General features: G+C 39.5%; 1 protein-coding gene across 11 annotated transcripts in view, besides 3 other annotated features; it reads left to right on the top strand.

The window, feature by feature from the left end:
• APP (amyloid beta precursor protein) overlaps positions 1-21,742 on the top strand; it is a 290,579-nt gene that overhangs the window by 168,676 nt on the left and 100,161 nt on the right. For 4 of the 11 annotated variants that reach the window (NM_001136131.3, NM_001136129.3, NM_001204303.2 and 1 more), the window contains one exon: positions 19,976-20,109. In NM_001136131.3, coding sequence (NP_001129603.1) covers positions 19,976-20,109 — 134 coding nt within the window. Of the gene's footprint in view, positions 1-2,270; positions 2,439-5,036; positions 5,094-19,975; positions 20,110-21,742 lie in introns of all 11 variants that reach the window. The other 7 variants (NM_001136130.3, NM_001204301.2, NM_000484.4 and 4 more) reach the window with 3 other exon arrangements.
• Positions 3,448-4,260: an enhancer, noted in NCBI's record as "OCT4-NANOG-H3K27ac-H3K4me1 hESC enhancer chr21:27370508-27371320 (GRCh37/hg19 assembly coordinates)". NCBI's record gives its function as "activates a minimal SCP1, AML or CMV promoter by ChIP-STARR-seq in naive and primed H9 embryonic stem cells {active_cell/tissue: H9 hESC(naive and primed)}" and the evidence as "EXISTENCE:reporter gene assay evidence [ECO:0000049][PMID:30033119]".
• Positions 4,261-5,074: an enhancer, noted in NCBI's record as "OCT4-NANOG-H3K27ac hESC enhancer chr21:27369694-27370507 (GRCh37/hg19 assembly coordinates)". NCBI's record gives its function as "activates a minimal SCP1, AML or CMV promoter by ChIP-STARR-seq in naive and primed H9 embryonic stem cells {active_cell/tissue: H9 hESC(naive and primed)}" and the evidence as "EXISTENCE:reporter gene assay evidence [ECO:0000049][PMID:30033119]".
• Positions 14,098-14,599: an enhancer, noted in NCBI's record as "H3K27ac hESC enhancer chr21:27360167-27360668 (GRCh37/hg19 assembly coordinates)". NCBI's record gives its function as "activates a minimal SCP1, AML or CMV promoter by ChIP-STARR-seq in naive H9 embryonic stem cells {active_cell/tissue: H9 hESC(naive)}" and the evidence as "EXISTENCE:reporter gene assay evidence [ECO:0000049][PMID:30033119]".

Genomic DNA, 21,742 nt, shown 5'->3' with positions numbered 1-21,742 from the left:
ATGTTTGTTACAACTGAAGGTAAGCTCTGGGAGCAGAGACCACTGCTGGCTATAGTTGATGGGATCCACAATGTCAATACAAATGGGGACTAACTATTGTTTTACTTCCCTATACACGTTGCTCTTTCAGTAGATGCAATAAAGTACTGGTAAAACCAGAGGTGGCTACCATCACGATGATGTCAACAGGAGGGACAGTCAGCACTAAGCCCAGAAGGTGTCAAACACTCCGCAGGAGAAATGCGCCATGCAACGGACATGAAGATGATCTGACACTCTTCACGTGGTTTTCAGATGGAAACGTGGCTACGAAAGCATCAACCTCATTATCATCCATCATTAAGGCCATCTCACTCAGTACTGCTGCTTTCAAAGTCCACGCTCCCAAAGCAAATTGGATTTCTGTACACAATACTCTTACAGGATGAAACCCAACCAACTTGTTGACGTAAGTATCCCATCTACTTCGCAATTTTATTTATCTTCCAAAATTAAAGGACTGGCACCCTGATTTATTAAAAGTGAATTGGGTCTAGGGACCATATCCCCTCTGAGTTACTGACAGAGCAGCTTCTGGCCTGTGAAGCTCAAAGCCATGCCTAGATGTGATGGATCCTTGTCTTTGATTGGCTAATTAGAATCAATCTGTTGAAGGACCAGTGGCAGTGGCTCACGCCTGTAATCCCAGCACTTAGAGAGGCTGAGGCAGGTGTATCACTTGAGGCCAGGAGTTCAAGACCAGCCTGGCCTACCTGGTGAAACCCCATCTCTACTAAAAATACCAAAAAATTAGCCAGGCGTGCTGGTACAAGGGTAATCCCAGCTACTTGGGAGGCTGAGGCGCAAGAATCACTTGAACTCAGGAGGTAGAGGTTGCAGTGAGCCAAGATTGTGCCACTGGGCGGCAGTGCAAGACCCTGTCTCATAAAAAGAAAAAAAGAATCTGTTGAATATTCCTAACTTGGAAGTAATGGGTGATGCGTGGCTTTCATCTTTTAGAAAGGTGTTTTTTCCTCTGTCAGTAAAACTAAGAAGACATCTGTGTGTGCTAAGGCGTCAGTCTAGCAAGGGCAGGGCACAAACCCAGAGAGAGAATTGGGCTGTTGTTTCACTTCCAATAAAAATGGGATATACATGGGAGGTAGAGTTATAATTCTACTCAGGATTGACTTTATACATGCAATTGGATGGGTCACTGATTGACTTTGAGGCAATCAGGGATGAGTGAAACTGATCTTGGGGAGGGTGGCAAGACATGTTGACAGGTAAGATGTGTTTTAATGTATAACAGTGCGTGGTGTGTATTAATCAGTTGGAGTTGATTGACTGCGTTTTATTGTTTGGAACATTCCTGCCCAAGGGTCAGGTAAATATACAAAATATACAAATAATACAGATTTTTAATACATAAATATCAATTAAGTAGCATAATTAAATAATACATTGTTATAGTTGTACTTAATGTGTATGTAAATATATACAAATAATACAGATTTTTAATATATAAATATCAATTAAATAGCAGAATTAATAATACGTTGTTATAGATGTACTTCATGCATATGTAATTAAATTATTAATGTATAATATATAAATACATATTTTAATATACAAATAAAATGGTCTTAAATCAGAGTTAATTTAAGACCATTTATATTAGTACATATCTTAATATACAAATGAATGGTCTTAAGTTAATGTCATTGAGTATAAGTCACATTTACAGATATGACATGTGTTTCCAGATAAAGTCAATGGACAGACAGCTTCCAACACTGGAAAACATTCAAAATATATGCAATTAATTTTATATTTGAGTTAAGGCAATCATTTATTAAGGAAAGCAATCAGATGTTTGTGAGGGCTTAAACTTTCGCTTCATAACCAAAGCAGTTTCCTTACATGAAAGTTGACTTCTTAAAAAGAGAAGTTTATTTTTTATAATGGAGAATTGTTGTGATGTGCAGATACCTTCCGTCATTTCATACTCATCTAAAAGCAGCCAAATGATCTTTTCACCTTTGGCCGGAATCCTTTTATTGCTACCGAGTCCTGCACTCATTAAACCAGATGACAGTGCATGCTCTGAGAGGTGTAAATCTCTAGTCCTGGTGGCCAGTTAAATTCCTCAGTAAATGTTTGGTAGATGCTGCCTAATAAACCAGTCCAGGTTGCCACTGGGAGGATTAAAAGAAGTAAACGTGTATACATGAACAGAGAGACAGTGCCTTTTCATGCTAAATGTGGTTCCCCACATCTCCTCTGATTAGAGGTGTGCTCTGAACAAGCCGAGACGGGGCCGTGCCGAGCAATGATCTCCCGCTGGTACTTTGATGTGACTGAAGGGAAGTGTGCCCCATTCTTTTACGGCGGATGTGGCGGCAACCGGAACAACTTTGACACAGAAGAGTACTGCATGGCCGTGTGTGGCAGCGCCAGTAAGTGGACCCTTCTTCGAGCCTGGCCACCTTTCGTCTCTCTCGCCACTGACTCTGCTTTTTGTAACAGATTGATTTTCCTGGTTCTTGGGAATGGGCCTGTTGCTACCACTAACCACATTTCTGTCCACTTCTCTAATTGCTCAGAGTCTCCGCAGTATGTTCAATCATGAGCACACCTCTCCGTCTTTCCCTGATAAAGCATGGCCATGGATGTGTTCTCTTCCTAGCTGTAGCACATATGTCTTGCAATCCAGAGGGACTTTTGAGTGCTTCTCTTTTAAACAAAGCTGGAGTGGCTGTTTTGTCTTCTGCAGCCAGCCGTTTCTGCAAATGCATACTTATGTGTTTGTCCGTGTACATATGTGTTCATGTTTATGCATGTGCACTACCTGTGCAGATACTGTCTACCACTGGAAGCCTGGCTGATGCAGCTTGAGTTGCATTGATAAGGTGTATGGCTGTGATGAATACCTTTAAGTTGGTTCATAACATGTCTTTTATTGTGCTGATGAGGGAATGTGATTGAATTGAGCTCATGCATCTCAAATGCCGGAGGGTAGAAGTGCCCGTCTTGCCCCCTCCGAGCTCAGCACACAGACATTTGCCAGGTCAAACTTCTGCTTCTTCTCTTGAAAGTAGAAGAAAACTTTTGACTTAACGTGAGAAACTTTCAATGACATAAGGCTCGAGGAACATAATTTTATTTTTTTTGTTTTTTTAAAGACAGGGTCTCATTCTGTCTCACAGGCTGGAGTGCAATGGCGTGATCTTGGCTCACTGCAACCTCCGCCTCCCGGGTTCAAGTGATTCTCCTGCCTCAGCCTCCCCAGCAGCTAGGATCACAGGCACATGCCACTGCGCCCGGCTAATTTTTTGTATTTTTGGTAGAGACAAGGCTTCACCATGTTGACCAGGCTGGTCTCGAACTCCTGACCTCAAGTGATCCACCTGCCTTGGCCATCCAAAGTGCTGGGATTACAGGCGTGAGCCACTGCACCCCGCCAGAACATAATTTTCAAAGTCTTTCTCTTGAACATTAAGCTTTTCATAATTCCGGGGGATAAAAATATGAAGTCATGATGACTTAAGTGCATGATGAAATTTTCCCCAAAGAGGTAATTCTCAGGAGGTCCAGTACCAGATGTGAGACTTCCATGTCGTTAACAGACTTCCAAGTGAAATTCCCAATTGTGCTTATTTATTTATTTATTTATTTATTTGTTGTTGTTGTTCATGAGTAGGAAGTATGAACTACTCAAGAAGTAATTATTCAGCTCAGCTTGATAACTAAAAATGAAACTCAATAACTGTGTATTACTTTTTTGAGAGACTCCTGCCTAATTCTCCGCTGTGTTGCAAGGGTGGCAGCCACATTTCCTGCCTGAGATTCCTAGGGATTATATAAATTGTTTTGCAGCAAGATCTTAGGATTAAGCAAAACAACAGAAGGGCCTGCACCATTAATACCCCCACTGTAAAGGAGCCCAGGATCTAAGAGGAATGTAATGGAAAAGCTCCTGTTGGTCTCCTGCCATCGCCAGTGAATGAGATGACTGCTTCAGTCCCATGTGTGAACAGGTGTAGGAACTGATAACCTCAAGGGCTTTTTTTTTTTTTTTTTCTGGCTCTGATTGGATGATTGCAGCTTCTGGCTCAAAGGACTCCCTTCTTCAGTTTCAAACAAAGCAGTCAATTAGGTCAGGTATTGCGAACACAATGGAGAATTCTGTTGCCTGCAGCCTTTGGAACAAAGGCCTTTTGTTACAGTGATTCTCACTGGTTTAGCCGGTGGGAGAGGTTTCCTGGCAGATTTGCAACTTTTTTCTCCCTTTCCCTGGGTGGATTCATTTTCTGAAATATCATGTATAGTTTTTGGTAATAAGAGATTTATTTGGTTTTAATTATTAGCAGTGATGAATTTGCTTCAAGAGATTAAAATTCTCTCCACCTCACCCCAGTACTGCCATCCCTTCACCTAACACTCTCTCCCTTTGATCAGTTTGGGCTGGGAGTGACCAGTGGGCACCTGTCCAGGTGTCCTGGGTGGCACACAGTTTGCTGAGGGTTTTGCAAAAGGTCGATGCTCCCAACAGAGATGTATTAGATGAGGCTAGCTATGCCTGATTTTAGAGGGGAAAGGTGACAGAATAATGTATGAAGAAGGCAAAGGCTGAAGATCAGTTAGATGGGTGGACAAGAATAAGTAGAGAGTATAAGCCTCAGCAAACAGCCAGAGCCGAGAGCCACATGCTGTCCTATGAATGAGTGAAATAAATGGAGTTTTTGTGAAAAAATGCATCGAAGGGAATTGGGGATATTTGGCACAAAAGGAGCAAGAAATCCTCTTCTGTTAAGAAACCTGTTGTTACTCGGATATACTATCAGAGACAAAATATCCAGCATTCTCAAATGTTAACTTCTTACGAAAATAGATCTTATGTTTATATGTTCATTTTGGTTTTGTTGGAGGGACCAAACCTAAGTGAGTGATTTTGTTTGTTAGGTTGTTTTTTTGTCAGTGGACTCGTGCATTTCAGCCATCATTCCCATGTTTCTCTTTTTGTTTTTAGTTATGTTCTCTTATTTTTTCCATAGTGTCCCAAAGTTTACTCAAGACTACCCAGGAACCTCTTGCCCGAGATCCTGTTAAACGTACGTTGTCATTCACCTGAGGGAAGGGAAGAGGGGAGGAGGATGCTGCTTGGTTCACATAACTCCAGCATCATCACCTTCTTTGCATGGTTTTGTGTTTCTTGAACACCTGTCTTAGTAAAATGTTTCTTCCCATTACCTTGCTTGTAATTACATCTGATTTTGCCAGACAGCTTGAGATGTTGGGCTAAGAACATCATTGACTAAGTTTCTTCTATTTCTGACCAATTTCCTTTTTATTTAGTCTGGTTTTATTGAATATTATATGGACAACATCATTGTATTGTATTTGCCATTACTATTTTATTTCCTAAAAGCTATCAGTGTAACTGAGAGCAGGCTTAGCCTCTCACTGCTTTTGCAGAACTGAAGAACAAGGGCTAGGTGCAGTGGAAGGAAAGTGACTTTACTTAGCAAAGCTAGCAATGGGGAAATGGTCCAGGCTCCTGCCTCAAAGCAACCATCTCAAATTTTGGATTAAAAAACAAAGGCTTAAAAAGGGGAGCTTGGAATGCAGGGCATGAAGGAGGGGTGAGGAGGTGCTGCTATACAGGACTTGTTCCAAAGACTTGAGTTATTATCCAGTTCGGTAAGTGGGCTGGCGCATCCCGCACAATCGGGTTGTAAATTAACTGCAGCCTTGAGGTGATCTCCTGATGAGGGAGAATTCTGAAGGTGCCTAAGTCAGTCAGTGGAACTTCTAAGCAAGCATTAATAATTTTAATAATAATTATAAGCGTAATTAGATAATGGAAGCGCTGTGCAGGGAGTGCCTGGTGGGAAGAAAGAGAGCAAAGGTTACCATTTCATTACTAAAACTGGAAGGAAAAGAAAGGAAGAAAGATCTTTAAAATAGAGTACTCGGTTACATCAAGATGCCATGATTTAACAAGAGACTATAATACATAAGTAACTTGTTTCCTCAGAAAAAGTACTTAATATTCATGGTATTGTAGTACATGGACTAATTCGTACACGCAGATTTCAATTTATGTGTGTTATAAGACCCGGTTTCAACTTTAGACATGAAGGGTCACTTTTAGACATTAGGAACCCCTCTTTCTCCTCTCCCAGAAGGCATAATGGTAGGTTAGAGGTGCTCACCTTTTGACTAGGAAGTAGAGAAAGAGCCTCCTATAAAGAAATGCATTGTCCAGCCACTGCAGGCCTTACTTACAGTGTCTTATGTTTTGTTTTTATTTCAGTTGTAATATCAGACGAGTTTAGTTTTAAAATGTGGTTTTAGTACTCATATTTGAATTTGGATTCCATCCAGAAATAGATTTATCCAGTGTTAGGTTAGGGATGATATATGCCATTTATGCTTATGATTGCTGGAAGAAGAGGCACAATTTCAGTTGTAACTTAGATATTTTATAATTAGCATTTGTGTACATTATCCTGAAAAAAAAAAACCCTCATCTCAAAACTGATGAAGCCAGTTATCTTTTTTAAAGATGATAAATTATAGATGAAGGATTAGGTATTTTAAAAAAGACTGCATCCTAAACTATAAAGTTTTTTAATGGCCTCCATAAAATATTCAGAATAATTCACATTATGTATAACTTTTGAAGGATGTGGTTTGTACTGCTGCAACATAAACGTTTCTTTTGCTGTTGTGAAAAAAGCATTTTTCTCTAAAAACACTGTAAGTACAGCAAGTGGGTTGACAGACTAGGAAAAAGCTCTAGCTATTCCACTATAGTGTTGACATAGGTACGCATGTTGAGTTGCATTGTACCGAGCATTTTCACAGATCATTTAATTTTTCTTCAGAACACTTTGTGGGCATTTTCCTCATTCCTTTTGTACATACGAGAAAAAATGAGGCTTCAAGAGCTTAGTGACTTGTCCCAAGCCATCGAACATGGCAGGACCAGGCTTTGAAACCCAAAATGACGTTTTGGCCGCACTCCACACCAAATGGCTAAGCATTGGTTCTGACATTGTTTTGCCGGTTAGTGAAATCACATTTGCGATTCAGAAGCACATTTTAAGAATACAGAAAACAGTGAAAAGAGGATGAAGAATGTTAACATTTTTTCCTAAATGCCATGAATAGAGCACGCATCAGTAAATTAAATGTCTTTCCCATTCTTTTATAAAACAGTGATTATTTTTCTCTTGTTTCATTTTAGCATTTATAAGAATTCTATTTTTCCATTTTTAATAACTGATGGAAACAAGCATCATTGTCTGATAAATTTATTTTCATGCTGTACACGTAACTACCACTTTCATCATCCACTGTTCCAAACAGATACTGAAAGTCTCTTTTGTAATTTTCTCCTTCCCAGTAATTTTCTCCATCTACTTGCAGTGTATTTGGGATCCTGACACCTTTCCATTCTAGGAGGATGAAGTGCTTTGGGCAGCTATATTTTCTTGTCTGCCTACAGAGACTATTCAATCACAGCAAGTGAAGGGTTTTGCAGTGCTAGTACAAACAGACAAGGAAAAAAACATATAATTTCTAGTTATTTATAGCCTGTGCAGCTATGTGGTCTTATTTATAGCAAACTGCACATTTGATTTGAAAAAGTCATGGTCATCTGGAGGTCAAATTCAGATGGCAGACTCAATTCAGAGAAAAGGAGCTGAACTAGAAGGTAAGCAAGCCTGTTAGACTGGGCAACTTGGACTTGACTTTGCTCCTTCAACAATCTAGAGCCAGTTGGATGATATTTCTGCACAAAGGTGGTTGGTTTTACAGGTTGCTCAGTCTAAGCTGCTTCTAGTCAAATAACAAATGTGAAAGGAGATAGAAAAAGCTCTTCAGTTGAACTGATAAAAGATTACACTTAGGGAGAAAATGTATGATGGTTTGCATTATAAAAACAATAATTTGCCATAAATCAGGCATTTCTAGGTTTCAAACTTTTGTCATAAAAACCAATTTTGAGCATTGCAATTTTAGGGACATATTTTATTGTTGTTATTTTAAATAAAAATCTAAACCACAAATATAAGGCTGAGAGCTTTCATTTTATTCGTGAACATAGGAATTCAAATCATTAAAAAAAAACCCTTTCTCATTTGGGATAAAGAATCTTACGAGAGCTGAGTTAATTTCTGACATTAGTTTTGCACCTGCCCATTTGGGTTTAGGACAGTGCAAAAGGTTTCACATTTAATCTTCAAAATATAGTATTTGTAGACAATAAAATTATATAAATATTTGTGGATTCATTTATATTTTAAATATGAGAGTGTGACCATTTTTTCTGGTGCTGTCTCCATCAGACTGCATCCCAAAAGGCAAACAGACCAACTCCTTAATGGCATTTAATCTCTCAAAGAGCATCATGCCAATTTTTAGTCAGCAGATTGCACCATGTGATCTGGCCAAAGTGTGTCCCATCTCAGGCTCCTTCATTTGCGCTGACATGTGGTACAAACAACTAAACCAAGGTTTCTCAACCTCAGCACTATTAACATTTTGATTCAAATAATTAATTTTTAGGAGTCTGTCCTAGGCATATGGGTGTTTAGCAGTACCCCTGACCCCTACCCACTAAATGCCATTAACACAACTCCAGCTGTGATAACTAAAAATGTCTCTAGACATTGCTAAATGTGCCCAGGGGGTCACATTCTGGTTGAGAATCCTGTTCTAGAGTAGTAGTTTCCCCACATCTGACTCAGAGATAGAACTCTCCTGGTGTAAACACGTGTACTTTCCACAAATTTGGGGGCATGTTGAAATGTTAGAATGTCAGCATCATCCAATTCTCGACAGATGTTTGAAATTGAATTTGTTAGACTATTGTCCAAGCTCTCAATATTTGCAAGGTAAAGTGGAAGTTGCTGTTGCTGTCCTGACTATAGTATTGAAGGTCTCGTAGTTTTCCTGCTCTAATGTAAGCTACTGTGGCAGCAGAAGAGAAACCAGCAAATCCCTTAGTTTGAAGTCATTGGTTCACCTATGCACCACCCCTTTCTCCTCTCTGTTTCATCTTAGTTTCCTAGAATCCCAGGATATGCTGGAGGACAACCATCTGTAGAGATGTCCTATAGTCTTGCTACACAGGTTATTTGTACTTTAGGATTATGTTTGATGGCCTTATAGTTTGTGCAGAGGTGTAGGCCTGACCCCATGCAGGATTGAGGGAGGGAAAAAGATTGATTTCTAGGCACATCAGAATGGTCCAGATGACATGAAACAGACTGGTACACTTACAGAGAATATGAAAAGAATTGGAACTTAACAAGTCAGGCCCCAAGTTCCATCCCCAGGTTCCAAGTTTGTTGCCGCAGAAGCTCATAATTTTCAAATCGTAGAAAACTCACACCACGCAGCCTTTCAATGGAATATGCCACCTTAACCCCAGGGTCGTTGTAAAGACAGGAGCCATAAGACAGAAGTCTGAATGCCTAGGCCATTTAATCTTTGGCCAAATTTGAACTATTGTTCTTAATCACACTATTCTTGTTCTTTTCACTGTGCAGTAGCAAATGTTAGTTCCCATTAGCACATTCTGCAATACCATTGGAACTAAAACTGCCAAATTAGATTAGGCAACCTGGGATTACACTTTGCTCCCCAACCAACCTAGGGAGGGAGAACAATTTTAAAGCATTAAAAGATGTGATGGTGAATTAAACTACCTGTCACGTCAGTGCCAGTATATTCTATCAGATTAACAAGTGTGAAAAGCTAAATCTTTGGTATCTGGAAATGCTTAGATAGGAAGAATGGCTTTTTCTTCAAAGCCATAATAATTAGAGATGACCCTAAAATTGAAAGGAACTGGATTGCTTAGCAACTCAGCATTTTTTAAAAAGAAGGGCCATCTACTTTGAATACAGGTTAAATATCTCTTCTCTAAAATGGGACCAGAAGTGCTTCAGATTTTGGATTTCGGAATATTGATGTATTCATGATGAAATAACATGAAATTCATTTATGTTTCATGTACACCTTATACAAAAGTCTGAAGATAATTTTATACAATTTTTTTTTTTTTTTGAGATGGAGTCTCGCTCTGTTGCCCAGGCTGGAGTGCAGTGGCGTGATCTCGGCTCACTGCAACCTCTGCCTCCTGGGTTCAAGAGATCCCCCTGTCTCAGCCTCCCAAGTAGCTGGAATGAATGACAGGCGCCTGCCACCACACACAGCTAATTTTTGTGTTTTTTAGTAGAGATAGGGTTTCACCATGTTGGCCAGGCTGGTCTTGAACTCCTGACCTGAAGTGATCCACCAGCTTCGGCCTCCCGAAGTACTTCGATTACACGTGTGAGCCACCACGCTTGGCCTATACAGTATTTTTGATAATTTTGTTCATGAAACAAAGTTTCTGTACGTTGCACTGTGAGAGAACAAAGGTGTTGCTATCCCAGCCACCATGATGTCATGTCAGTGCTCAAAAATTATCAGATTTTGGAGCATTTCAGATTCTCAGATTAGAGATGTTCTACCTGTGGTAAAAGAATGTTCATTATGTCTCTGCTCTGTTGTTTAGCTATTTGCCAAAAGAGGGTAAGTGGATCGTTTAATAAAGTGGTCAGCAAATATTTTTCATACAAGGCCAGATTATAGATATTTTAGGCTTTGTAGATCATGCAGTTTGTCATAACTACTTAACTATGCAGTGGTAGCATGAAAGCAACAATAGACAATAAGTAAACAAATAGACAAGGCTGTGTTCCGATAATACTACTTTTATAAAAGTAGCCAGCAGCTGGGTGCAGTGGCTCACGCCTGTAATCCCAGCACTTTGGGAGGCCGAGGCGGGCAGATCACCTGAGGTCAGGAATTCGAGACCAGCCTGGCCAACATGGCGAAACCCCATCTCTGCTAAAAACACAAAAACTAGCTGGGCGTGGTGATGGGCGCCTGTAATCCCACCTACTCAGGAGGCTGAGGCAGGAGAATCACTTGAACCCGGGAGGCAGAGGTTGCAGTGAGCTGAGATCACACCATCGCACTCCAGCCTGGGGGACAAGAGCGAGACTTCATCTCAAGGGGGAAAAAAAAGGTAGCCAGCAAGCTGATCCTTGGTTTAATACAGCAGGTTTTTTTATTTTTATTTTTATTTTTTTTCCAATAGCTTTGGGGATACAAGTGGTTTTAGTTACGGGGATGAAGTGTATAGTGGTGATGTCTGAGAGTTTAGTGTCCCCATTTCACTGAGTAGTGTACATTGTACCCAATACGTAGTTTTTTATCCCTCTCCTCCTTCCCACTCTTCCTCATTCTGAGTCTCCAATGTCCATTATGCCACTCTATGCCTTTGCATAATCATAGCTTAGCTCCCAATTTATAAGGGAATACATACTGTATTTCCATTCCTGATTACTTCACTTAGAATAATGGCCTCCACCTCCATCCAAGTTGCTGCAAAAGACTTTTATTTTGTGGTTTTTCTGGCCTACTAGTATTCCGTGGTATATATACACCACATTTTCTTTATCCCTCATTGGTTGATGGGCACTTAGGTTGGTTCCGTATCTTTGCAGTTGTGAACTGTGCAGCAGTTATTTTTGACCCCAGGATGTGCGAGGCCAGGTATTTTGAGAGACACCAGCAAAGGAATCTGAGTACTGGCTATCAATACCTGATAATTTTATTAATGAGTTGAGACCCAGATATGCCGTAGAGGTAAATAACCATATAAAGGAAATATAGAAGTGTAGGAGAAGATTGCTCTGGAAGGCTGGGGTAAAATGAAATCAGCTTTATCCTTAAGACCTCCATAGAGGTTAACTGTACCATCTCCTTTTACTGCTACAGTTTATATGAAACTGGACAATATTGAAGATTTTGACTTTTCGAACTCATCTATTGAGTGTTGAGCAGCTATGACAGGTTATTTCTTTATGTGCCTCCATTAACGAAGTCAAGAATAGCTTCTGACAAATTGACAAAAAACAATAACCTAAGGTTAACCCATTCTGGACGCCAGTTATTGCTATTGCTTCACATATATTTTTTAGATTCAAACTTGAGGTTGCTTTTAAGTTTTAGTGTGATGTGCTGAATAGAGAATAGATGTTAATAAAAAAATAATGCCAGCATTCGTTCCTTCACATTCAGTTCATATATTTGAAAAAATTCCCATGTCAGTATGTGTCCATGGACATAAAAAAGAAATGTAGCTTGACTAGAGTAAACACATCATAGATTATATTTTTATTACCTTATGTCCATGTGATGCATTGATAGTGTTCTCCACCAACTATGATTGCACTGACTATAAAATTGTAATACAAGGGCATATTAGGGGGAGAATGCCTTTGTTTTTTCTTTTGTTGTTATTTTGTTTTTAAGAGAGTCTGGTATTACACTGGAGGATCACAAACTGTATTTTCTTGTTATAAATGGCTCCTCTATCTTGGACTTAATGGTTAGGATAAATATTTGAATGTAGAATGCGTTAGGAGTTTTAACTATTTTTGAAATTAGGAAAATGGAGAGACACTTTTTTTTTTTTTAGAGACACTTTTTTTTTAAGTTATAATAAGCATGGCACTCGGAAAGCTCTGCCATGTTTCAAGATTAAAGTTTCACATGAACGCTAACAAGTTTATATTTCACTCATATATAAATGATCCTCCTTGTCTCCTTTCCTAAATTATAGCCATCTCAAATGACAACATTGCTGGGTCGGTATCAAATAGCATTTTCAATGATAAGGCAATGATTTATATAGGTCTTAATTTGTTTTAATCTTCTGTTACCAAGGCTGTAGAGATAAATTGCTTTTCTGCTGATGAAAGGAGACTAACCCAATTTTCTTGTTAGAATCTAATATTAATATATCGACTGAATGCCATTCATAAGCCTTGGTTTAGGGAAACATTCAGCCTTCTGGCCTGTTGGAGATGGCCACGGTCATTGCTGTTTGAAGGTGGGTCATTTCTTCTTTTGTGTCCTGAGTCCATTGTGACTGTAAAATTATGGGTCACCCCAGAGCCTGAGGAAACAAATGCATATCAAAATGATAGGGGCAATCTTTCACAGTGCCTTTAATTTTGACCCCACATTCTTATATGAATGTGAAGTACCACATTAGTATGAATATGAAATGGAGTGCTCCGCAATGATTACAAAATCAGAACTAAAATGAGGGAAATCAGTGCATGTACAGTTCAACTTAATGGATTATCCTCTAAGGAGTCTTCAGACAGGCTAGGAGAGTGACGTCTGCCTCATCCTGAAGATATTAGCAGGTTTTCCCCTGTTTTAAAGTAACTTCCCTTCAAATGCTAACAGTTTTCTCAGAGGAAACACAGGTATGGAAAATGTTTCGTTGGTGTCTTGGCCCCAGTGATGGAGGAGCATTTTGTGATAGGAACGTTGGGTGCAGCATCGCCATTTATGAATAAACTGAAAGCTAACCTGTGTTACTTCACCCCAGAAAACAGAGCTCTGGCAGGTATTGAGAATAGATCACAGTGTGAAGTGGCAGTATTGTGACAAGCATGCGTGTATCAGTATTAAAATTGAAATGAGCCCTCACGCACATGTGAAAGCAGTTTCTCCCGTTTTCATATTCAGTTCCCTGAGGTAATACAGCATTTTGGTGTGAGAGAAAGAAGGGAATCTGACCCTTCTCGTGTGGGAAGGGGGCTGAGGGCAACAACCTCCTGTGACAGCCACCCTGGTCCAAGCCACCTTCATCTTTGTCTCCTTTTTTTTTTTTTTTTTTTTTGAGACAGAGTTTCGCTGTTATCACCCAGGCTGGGGTGCAATGGCACAATCTTGGCTCACCACAACTTCCGCCTCCCGGGTTCAAGCAATTCTCCTGCCTCAGCCTCCCGAGTAGCTGGGATTACAGGCGCCTGCCACCACGCCCAGCTAATTTTAGTATTTTTAGTAGAGACAGAGTTTCTCCATGTTGGTCAGGCTGGTCTCAAACTCCTGACCTCAGGTGATCTGCCCGCCTCAGACTCCCAAAGTGCTGGGATTACAGGCGTGAGCCACTGCACCCAGCCTGTCTTTTCCTCTTAAAAGATCTTCCTTCTACTTTTGTCCCATAGCAGCCAGAGTGATCCTTCAACAAAACGCCCCATCACATATACTCCCCCTCAAACAGCCCACGCTGGTCCCTCAGAATCCTTACTGTGGCTTTAAGGCTGTACATGATGTCCCCCATTTCTTCCCTGCCTCTCCCACTACTTCCTCTCTTGCTTCTTTAGCTCTGGCCATGCGGGTCTCGTGGAATTTGCCAGCCAGCTTCAACTCTTAGGGCTTCCGTGCTAGTTTTGTCATCTGCCTGCCATGTCCTTCCAGCAGCCAGCTGGGAAGATCTGAATGTCACCTCCTCACTTAAGACTCTGCCTGGTCGCTCACTTACTGCGGTCTACCTTTCCCCTCTCCCCTCAGCTCTCCCGATCCTTCTGAACTCTGCTCTGTTTTTCTTTTTCCTCTTTTTCTCCATAATACAAATCACATATTAACAATATGACTTACTGGCTTTTAAAAAATTCTTGTGGTAATTGTTTCTTTCCCTAGAATATAATTCCACCAGGATCAGGGCCTTCATGTTTTTCTCATTGGTTTCTCCCATGTGCCTCACATATAATAAGGGCTGCAATGTTGGTGGGCTGGAGGAATAAAAGAATGAACAGGCGCACTAAAGGCAGGATAGTTTGTCCATGTCAGAGCTGCTGTCTCAGCTGCTTTGATACCTCTGACTTCCCAGGGTGGCAAAGAATAAGGATGTGGCTTATGTAGAAGGCGTTAGTCATCCAAAATGCCACTGTATATTTGGAAGCAAATATTCACCTTGAAGCAGTGATGTACTAGGAATTAGAACTGCTTTTCTGTTACATTTTTTCATTTGTTATGAGTGTTTAGATACACATGATCACTATTAAAAGGAAGGGAGGTAATAGCCTATATATCCTACCATGCCCCTCAAGGCTCTGTTAGGAGACTAAAATACAAAGGTCATTTAAAAAGTTAAAAGCTTATGCATGTGATGTTGGTATTGCTGCTAATGACTAGGCATCTAGAGGTCAAAACCTAGAGCTAAGGATATTGAACCCTGTGTTTTGTCTCGTTTTAAGTCTAGGTTTTTGTGGAGGGGGGAACATACCTAGCCAGCTTGCTTGCAGAAGGCATGAGTGAGCAGGCTGAAGGAGGGACCCAAGGCCAGAACGTCCTCCATATTCTAGCTCCATGGGCTCTTTCACTTGATCCCTGCTTTATGACCCAACTTCTGTTGAAGGATTTGCCAGATAGTGTTTGGGGCAGGAACAGCTGTTTCATAGAAAACAAGCCAACGGACATCATAACAAAGCATATGGTTGTTTTGCCAAGTTGTGCTGCTCATTAACAAAACAAAACAACAAAAACCCTTTACAGTGCCCCAGCATGTGGATGGATTGGCCCTTTACTACTCTAAAAATTAGCTTTACAGCCTTTTTATGGCTTACCCAATCTTAACAGACTTTATTTGTGTGTGTTTAGGGATGCAAATGGGTATGTTAAATGATAGTGTTTTGCCTCTACGCAATAAAATAGGGTAATTTTTTCTTCCCATGTATTAAACGAGAACACAGAACATGCCTAGCATGGTGGGCTCTGATGAAAAGAGGCTGTTATCATTTGGCCAACATGGAAATCCTAGCCTTTATTTATTTATTTATTTGAGACGGAGTGCCAACATGGAAATCCTAGCCTTTATTTATTTGTTTGTTTGTTTGTTTGAGACGGAGTTTCGCTCTTGTAGCCCAGACTGGGGTGCACTGGCATGATCTCGGCTCACCGCAACCTCCGCCTCCCAGGTTCAAGCGATTCTCCTGCCTCAGCCTCCCAAGTAGCTGGGATTACAGGCATGCGCCACCACACCCTGCTAATTTTTTTATTTTATTTTATTTTAGTAGAGACGGGGTTTCTCCATGTTGATCAGGCTGGTCTCAAACTTCCGTCCACCTCGGCCTCCCAAAGTGCTGGGATTACAGGTGTGAGCCACCCCATCCGGCCGAAATCCTAGCCTTTATCAGAGGTTCCGTGGAATCTCAGAGGTCTGTGAGCAGGATAAACTGCTTTATGGTAGTTTAAAATGCAAAACCAGAAATAAACCCTCCTAAAGCCAGTTTGTTTCCACTTTCTAAGTGGTTACAGTGACCTGTGTTTTAAGTACCTTAAATATATCAGTGACCTGCTGATATACAGCTTCCTGTTTCCTCTGTGTCCTGTGACATATCCTGACATTCCTTGAGCCCCACTCCCTTCCCAAAAGGAAGTACCTTGATGGGTGAGGACATAGGGCACACGTGTCTCTGGCCTTCTGTGGACATAATCACAAAATGGTAGTCAGTCCTATGAATTTAATCTCTTTAGGATATAAGGATATTCACGAAATAGAAGTTGAGCTCTCTGGACATACTCCACCTTAAAATTGCTCTCTCCTTCCGGGATCCTCACCAGCTGCAGAGCAGTAGTAATGAACTATTAAATTCATTTAACAATATCAGCATATGCTATCCTTCTCTGCTTGACTAGACAGTAATCTGGCTTGCTGGTTGGTATGAATATAGGATAATTTCACTCACACTAATTGAGATGGGGAGTTTGTATGAATGGCTGAAAAATTTGAGTTAAAGATAAAAAGAGACACAGCTTCCTCAACTATGGGAAATAACTGGGACTGTTAACAAAGATTTACTTGAAGAGAAATTGTATTGCTCAGGGTTCTCCAGAGAAACAGGACCAATAGGATATATATGTATAGGAAGAGATTGATTCTGCAGAATTGACTCACACAACAATTATGGAGGCTAAGTCCCACAATCTGTTGTCTGCAAGTTGGAGACCCAGGAGAGCTGGTGGTATGATTTAGTCCAAATCTAAAGGCCTGAGAACCAGGGAAGACAATGGTGTAAATTTCAGTCCAGGGAGAAGAGAAGACCAATATCCTGACTCAGGCAGCCAGGAAATAAAAAGGGTGAACTGCTCCATCCTCTGCCCTTTTGTTTTCAGACCCTCAGCAGATCGGGTGATTCCTGCCCATGTTGAGGAGGGTGATTTACTTTACTGAGTGCACCAATTCCGATGCTAATCTCATCCAGAAGCACCCTCACAAAGACACTCAGAAACAATGTTTAATCTGGGCACCTTGCGGCCCAATCAAGTTGGCACAGAAAATTAATTACCACAGAAATATTTCTGGATTCAATGGATTAAGTTGGTAATATAGTATTCATATTCATTTCCACGTGCCTAAAAAGAAGGTTTTTATCCTTTTTAATATCCTCAGTCCTATTAAACATACCTCACATTCATGTTCCATGGTTATTCTCTTATTATGTTGCTAAGTGCATTTCTACTTAGGCCAATCTGATTATAGTGATTCAGATTATAGTGTTTATCTTCTTTCCTTTATACAGTAGACAGTGTTCGCAAACCATAGGAGCTGAAAAAATTTCCTTCTTATATAGTAAGTTTTATGATTCCAGTTTTCCAAAGGGGTGCTTATGTTATGGTTATAACAGTTACAGCCAGATGACTATCTTCATCAGCAGGTATAACCCCAAATATTTATACATTTTCATTTGTTTCAAACATAAAATATGGTTTGCCTAAACATGTCATTCTGCCAGATTGGACTATGCAAAAGAATGTTACTGTTTTATTTTCTGCTTTTACTTTAACTTGTTCTCATTTGAGCTCTACCAGTTAAGATGAGAAGATGACTAAAGCTAGGGAAGCACATTTTAAATGCTAAATACCATGTTCATTTCAAGTTGGGAACTTGAAATGCAAGTATTTTTAACTTAATCATTAAGTTAAAGTCAGTAAGAACGTGGTATTTAGCATTTATTCATTTTAACTTAATGATTAAGTTAAAAATACTTGCATATTGGTTTGCTTGAAGCTATGGAGAAAAACATTTACCTTTTTTCCAAAAAGGTCTTAATATTCAAAATTATTGTTTCAATCTTACAAATTAACAATTTACTTATTTTTGATACTTTCGGCCTTTTTTATGTGGGCTACACCTAACATTTTTTGAAAAATACATACTGCTTTTCCTGTAGGTTGCACTTTGTGATCCTGTGTGTAATTCATTTTCAGTGGTTCTATTTTATTTATTTTTTGTTAGTTTGTATTTTCTTTTGTTTCTTTTTCTCAATTTTTAAAATTTTAAAACTTGTCCTTTTCTTTTTTTTCTTTATTATTGCACTCTTCTACCAAAACATTTTCAGTGGCTTTGAATAAAAGTATCAGAACTTTCCCGTGGTTAGCATTAGCTCTGAGATTTGAACAGGATGTATTAAGCAGAGGAGGAGGGAAGGCCACTAACATGTATGAGCTCCACTGTGTGTCACCCTCTCTGCCGGATGACTTACATGTGGTATGGTATCTCATTTTCCCAGCTCTCCTATCATGTCCTGCGGCATGTTATCACCACTTGATAAAAAAATTGAAACATGGAGTGCTTAAGTTTCCTGCCCCAGGTCACAGCTGATCTGAAAAAGAAATGGGATTCAAATCCAAATGTGCTTAATTGCAAATCCCCACATGACTCTTTCCTTCCTTCCTTCCTTCCCCCGTTGCTGCCAATGTAAGAAGGAACACCACTCCCTCATTTGCTACAGAGAAGACAGGGGCAGCTGTGTAAAGGCACCAGGAATATGCCCTGCCTCCTTCCTTCCACTTGAAAGCAACATCTGGATAGACACTCAACTGCTTTTATTTTTTGAAAAATGATTATTAATCAGGATTGAAGTGGAGGGAAAAAATCAAAACGAATGTTTCTTTTTAAAATGAAAGATACTGTTTAATTATTTAACAGCCTTCCGGTTTTAGTTAATATCTTTGAAGACTTTGGATTAAGATTCCAGACATTTTCTTGAAGGATGTAGAAAACGTATTTAACTTCAAGTTTAGTTTCAAAATGACTTAGCTATCAATTCTTCTCATTGAAGTCCTCTTTGAGATATTATATCCCAAATGTAATACACAGGTAATAATTCAATAGGAATACTTGGAACATTGGTGATATTTGAATAACCTTTTGAATGAAACAATTGATTTGATCTCAAAAGATAGTGAAAACGTCTCATTTTGTTTTTTATGTTAAATATGCTTCCTCTTAAGTCAAAATTCTTTTTTCTTTTTGCTTTTAAGCTCATAAATACTCTGAATTCTCACTAATCTTTTGGAAAATTGCTTGTATAGGTATTATAATTCACTTGGCTCATGAGTTACATAATATAGCAGTATATGTTGCAATTCAAATATTGCTTAGCAGTATTAGTTGAATTCAAAATAGAAATCACTTTCTTTTTGACAACTAGCATAATGAATTCATTGACTATTGTCAAATTTATGAAGACAGAAAAGTCCTTTTGTGATTCAAAAATGTGTTTATTGATGTTTATATATCTTTTGTCGTGTTTCCATACTGTCTCATGAAGGTTGTCTTCGTAATTCAGTTATCTAAATACATCATACATTTACCTTTTCCCTGGGGTGCCGTTATTCTACAACAGGCTAATTACAGATATCTGTGGTTTCTGCAGGAGTCTTAGTGTATGATATTGATGATATCATCATTTACTTTCAAAATTGCAAAATAGTAATTTAGGAAAGCATGGGGATTTGGAAAAACATGTCTTCAGCACCAACTGTTTTTGCTCTTTGCATGCTTGTTTCGTAAAGAACTCTAATGCTATAATTGCAAAATGGACCATTTTAAAGATTTTTCCTTCATTCTGTACTTGGGAGTGGTGAAAGACATCCTTACTGTGCTGCACAGTGTCTCATGGTGTTCTCTTAAACAGCATTAACGTCTTGTATGCGCTGCTTTACTAAATTCTCTGTTCTGAGAAATAACTGAAAATACGGCTTTCTATTAAACGAGTGGATTATTCTGTTGTTGTTGGCTTTTTTTTCTCAAACCTCCTTCTCTTCTACTTTATAGTTCCTACAACAGCAGCCAGTACCCCTGATGCCGTTGACAAGTATCTCGAGACACCTGGGGATGAGAATGAACATGCCCATTTCCAGAAAGCCAAAGAGAGGCTTGAGGCCAAGCACCGAGAGAGAATGTCCCAGGTAAGTCTGGCTCTTCCATCATTCAGCCCTACGATATTGGGAAACCTGAGCTTGCCTCTGCCTCAGTCTCCCCACAGGCCTGCTGGCTTTATCAAGATCTTTAAAGATGTAAAGTTCTAATTTTAAATGTTTACTGTGTGGGCACAGTTTGTGGGTTTTTTGCATCCTCCGTGAACATGCTGCCTAGGAAGGATCCAGGTATAGTTGGATTTTGTAAGCACAAATTAAATGATGTCTGTAACATTCTCTCTGGCGAAGAAAGGTACTTGGCATTATTATTCTGTGTATATGTAGTACCTGTAATCAACATGTTGTAAATTAAAATCCATCAAAATGCTCTTTAGTAAAGATGAGGTTTTGTATTAAATCCCAGACTGTTATAATTGTGAACCTACGATTGTTTACAGTCTGTAAAATCATAGAGACTTAAAACTGAGCTGAACCATAGTGATTATTTCATCTAGTCTCCTAAGTGATACATAGTGGAATAGAGGTTCGAGAGAGTGGCTTCCCATTTTAGCACAAAGCAAAATCAGTGAGCCAGAGACAACATTTAGAATCCAGGCCTTTCTTGCTCCTAGTACAGTACTCCTTTCATTATACTTTGCTGAAAAAAAAAAAAAAAAAAAAAACCTGTTTTGGTTTGGTTTGTTTTTTTTTAGCAGGTCCTTAATTAAGCAAATTAAAAAATAACTTATGTCTAAAACATGGCTAATCCATATATACTATCAACTACAATTGAAGCTATGTCTGCTACCAGGCACTGGATGTTGTATTGGAGTTTGATAATATGGAGGATTTTAGCCCTTGCTCAGATTCCTCATTCATTCATTCATTCAATCAACAAATATGGACTTATTATTTTCCAGTCACTTTTCTGATTTGTAGTCTACAAACCTAGGAGTGAATGTGGGGGGAAAAGAAGTAGGACATAAAAGTGAATGAATAAAGATCTCAGGTTAAAGTAAGCCATTCATTTTTAGTGTTAATATTCTGTGGCAAATATCAGAAGATAGGAGAAATTTTTGTCTTAGCACAGATGCTTAATCTCTTGAGAGACATTAAATGCAATTTATGAATTAGACTGCTGCGTATTTTCTAAGATCACAGTCAGTCTTTAGTAGACAATTAATCTTTCCTGTAATTTCTGATCTGGGTCCCTGCTGACCCCAGGAAGATTCCTCCCTCCCAGGGCCAAATGAATGGCCCCTGAGCATGTCTTTCCCATGCAAACCAGTCAATCAAAAGCTCCTTACTCCCAACCACCTTCTTATACTCTGGGCCACTATTCACCTGCTCTAATCACCCCAGGACCAGGTACCAGACCACTAGGGACAACCTCATGCCCCATCACCATTATTTGAACTAATCAGTCCTAAACCCGCCTACCCTGCTTCGCTCATTCTTTCCATGAAAACCACAATAAAAGGCTCTTGCTCATGTTTTCCCCTCCTGACCAACCCTGGTGCTTCCCATATGACCCTGCATGTAGTGGCATGTACCGGCTTCTTGGGAGCTGAGTAACAAACTGTCTTTTCCATGATAATCATCTCCTGACCTCTTGGCCTCACCTGAATAATAAGAAAATCTACCCTTGAAAACATAAAACTAATAGTTTATCTAGAAAGGTACA

This window comes from Homo sapiens, chromosome 21 (genome assembly GCF_000001405.40).
Source record: "Homo sapiens chromosome 21, GRCh38.p14 Primary Assembly".
NCBI classification, from domain to species: Eukaryota; Metazoa; Chordata; class Mammalia; order Primates; family Hominidae; genus Homo; species Homo sapiens.
Note: the sequence above shows the minus strand (reverse complement) of the source record. Positions and strands in the feature narration are given on the sequence as shown.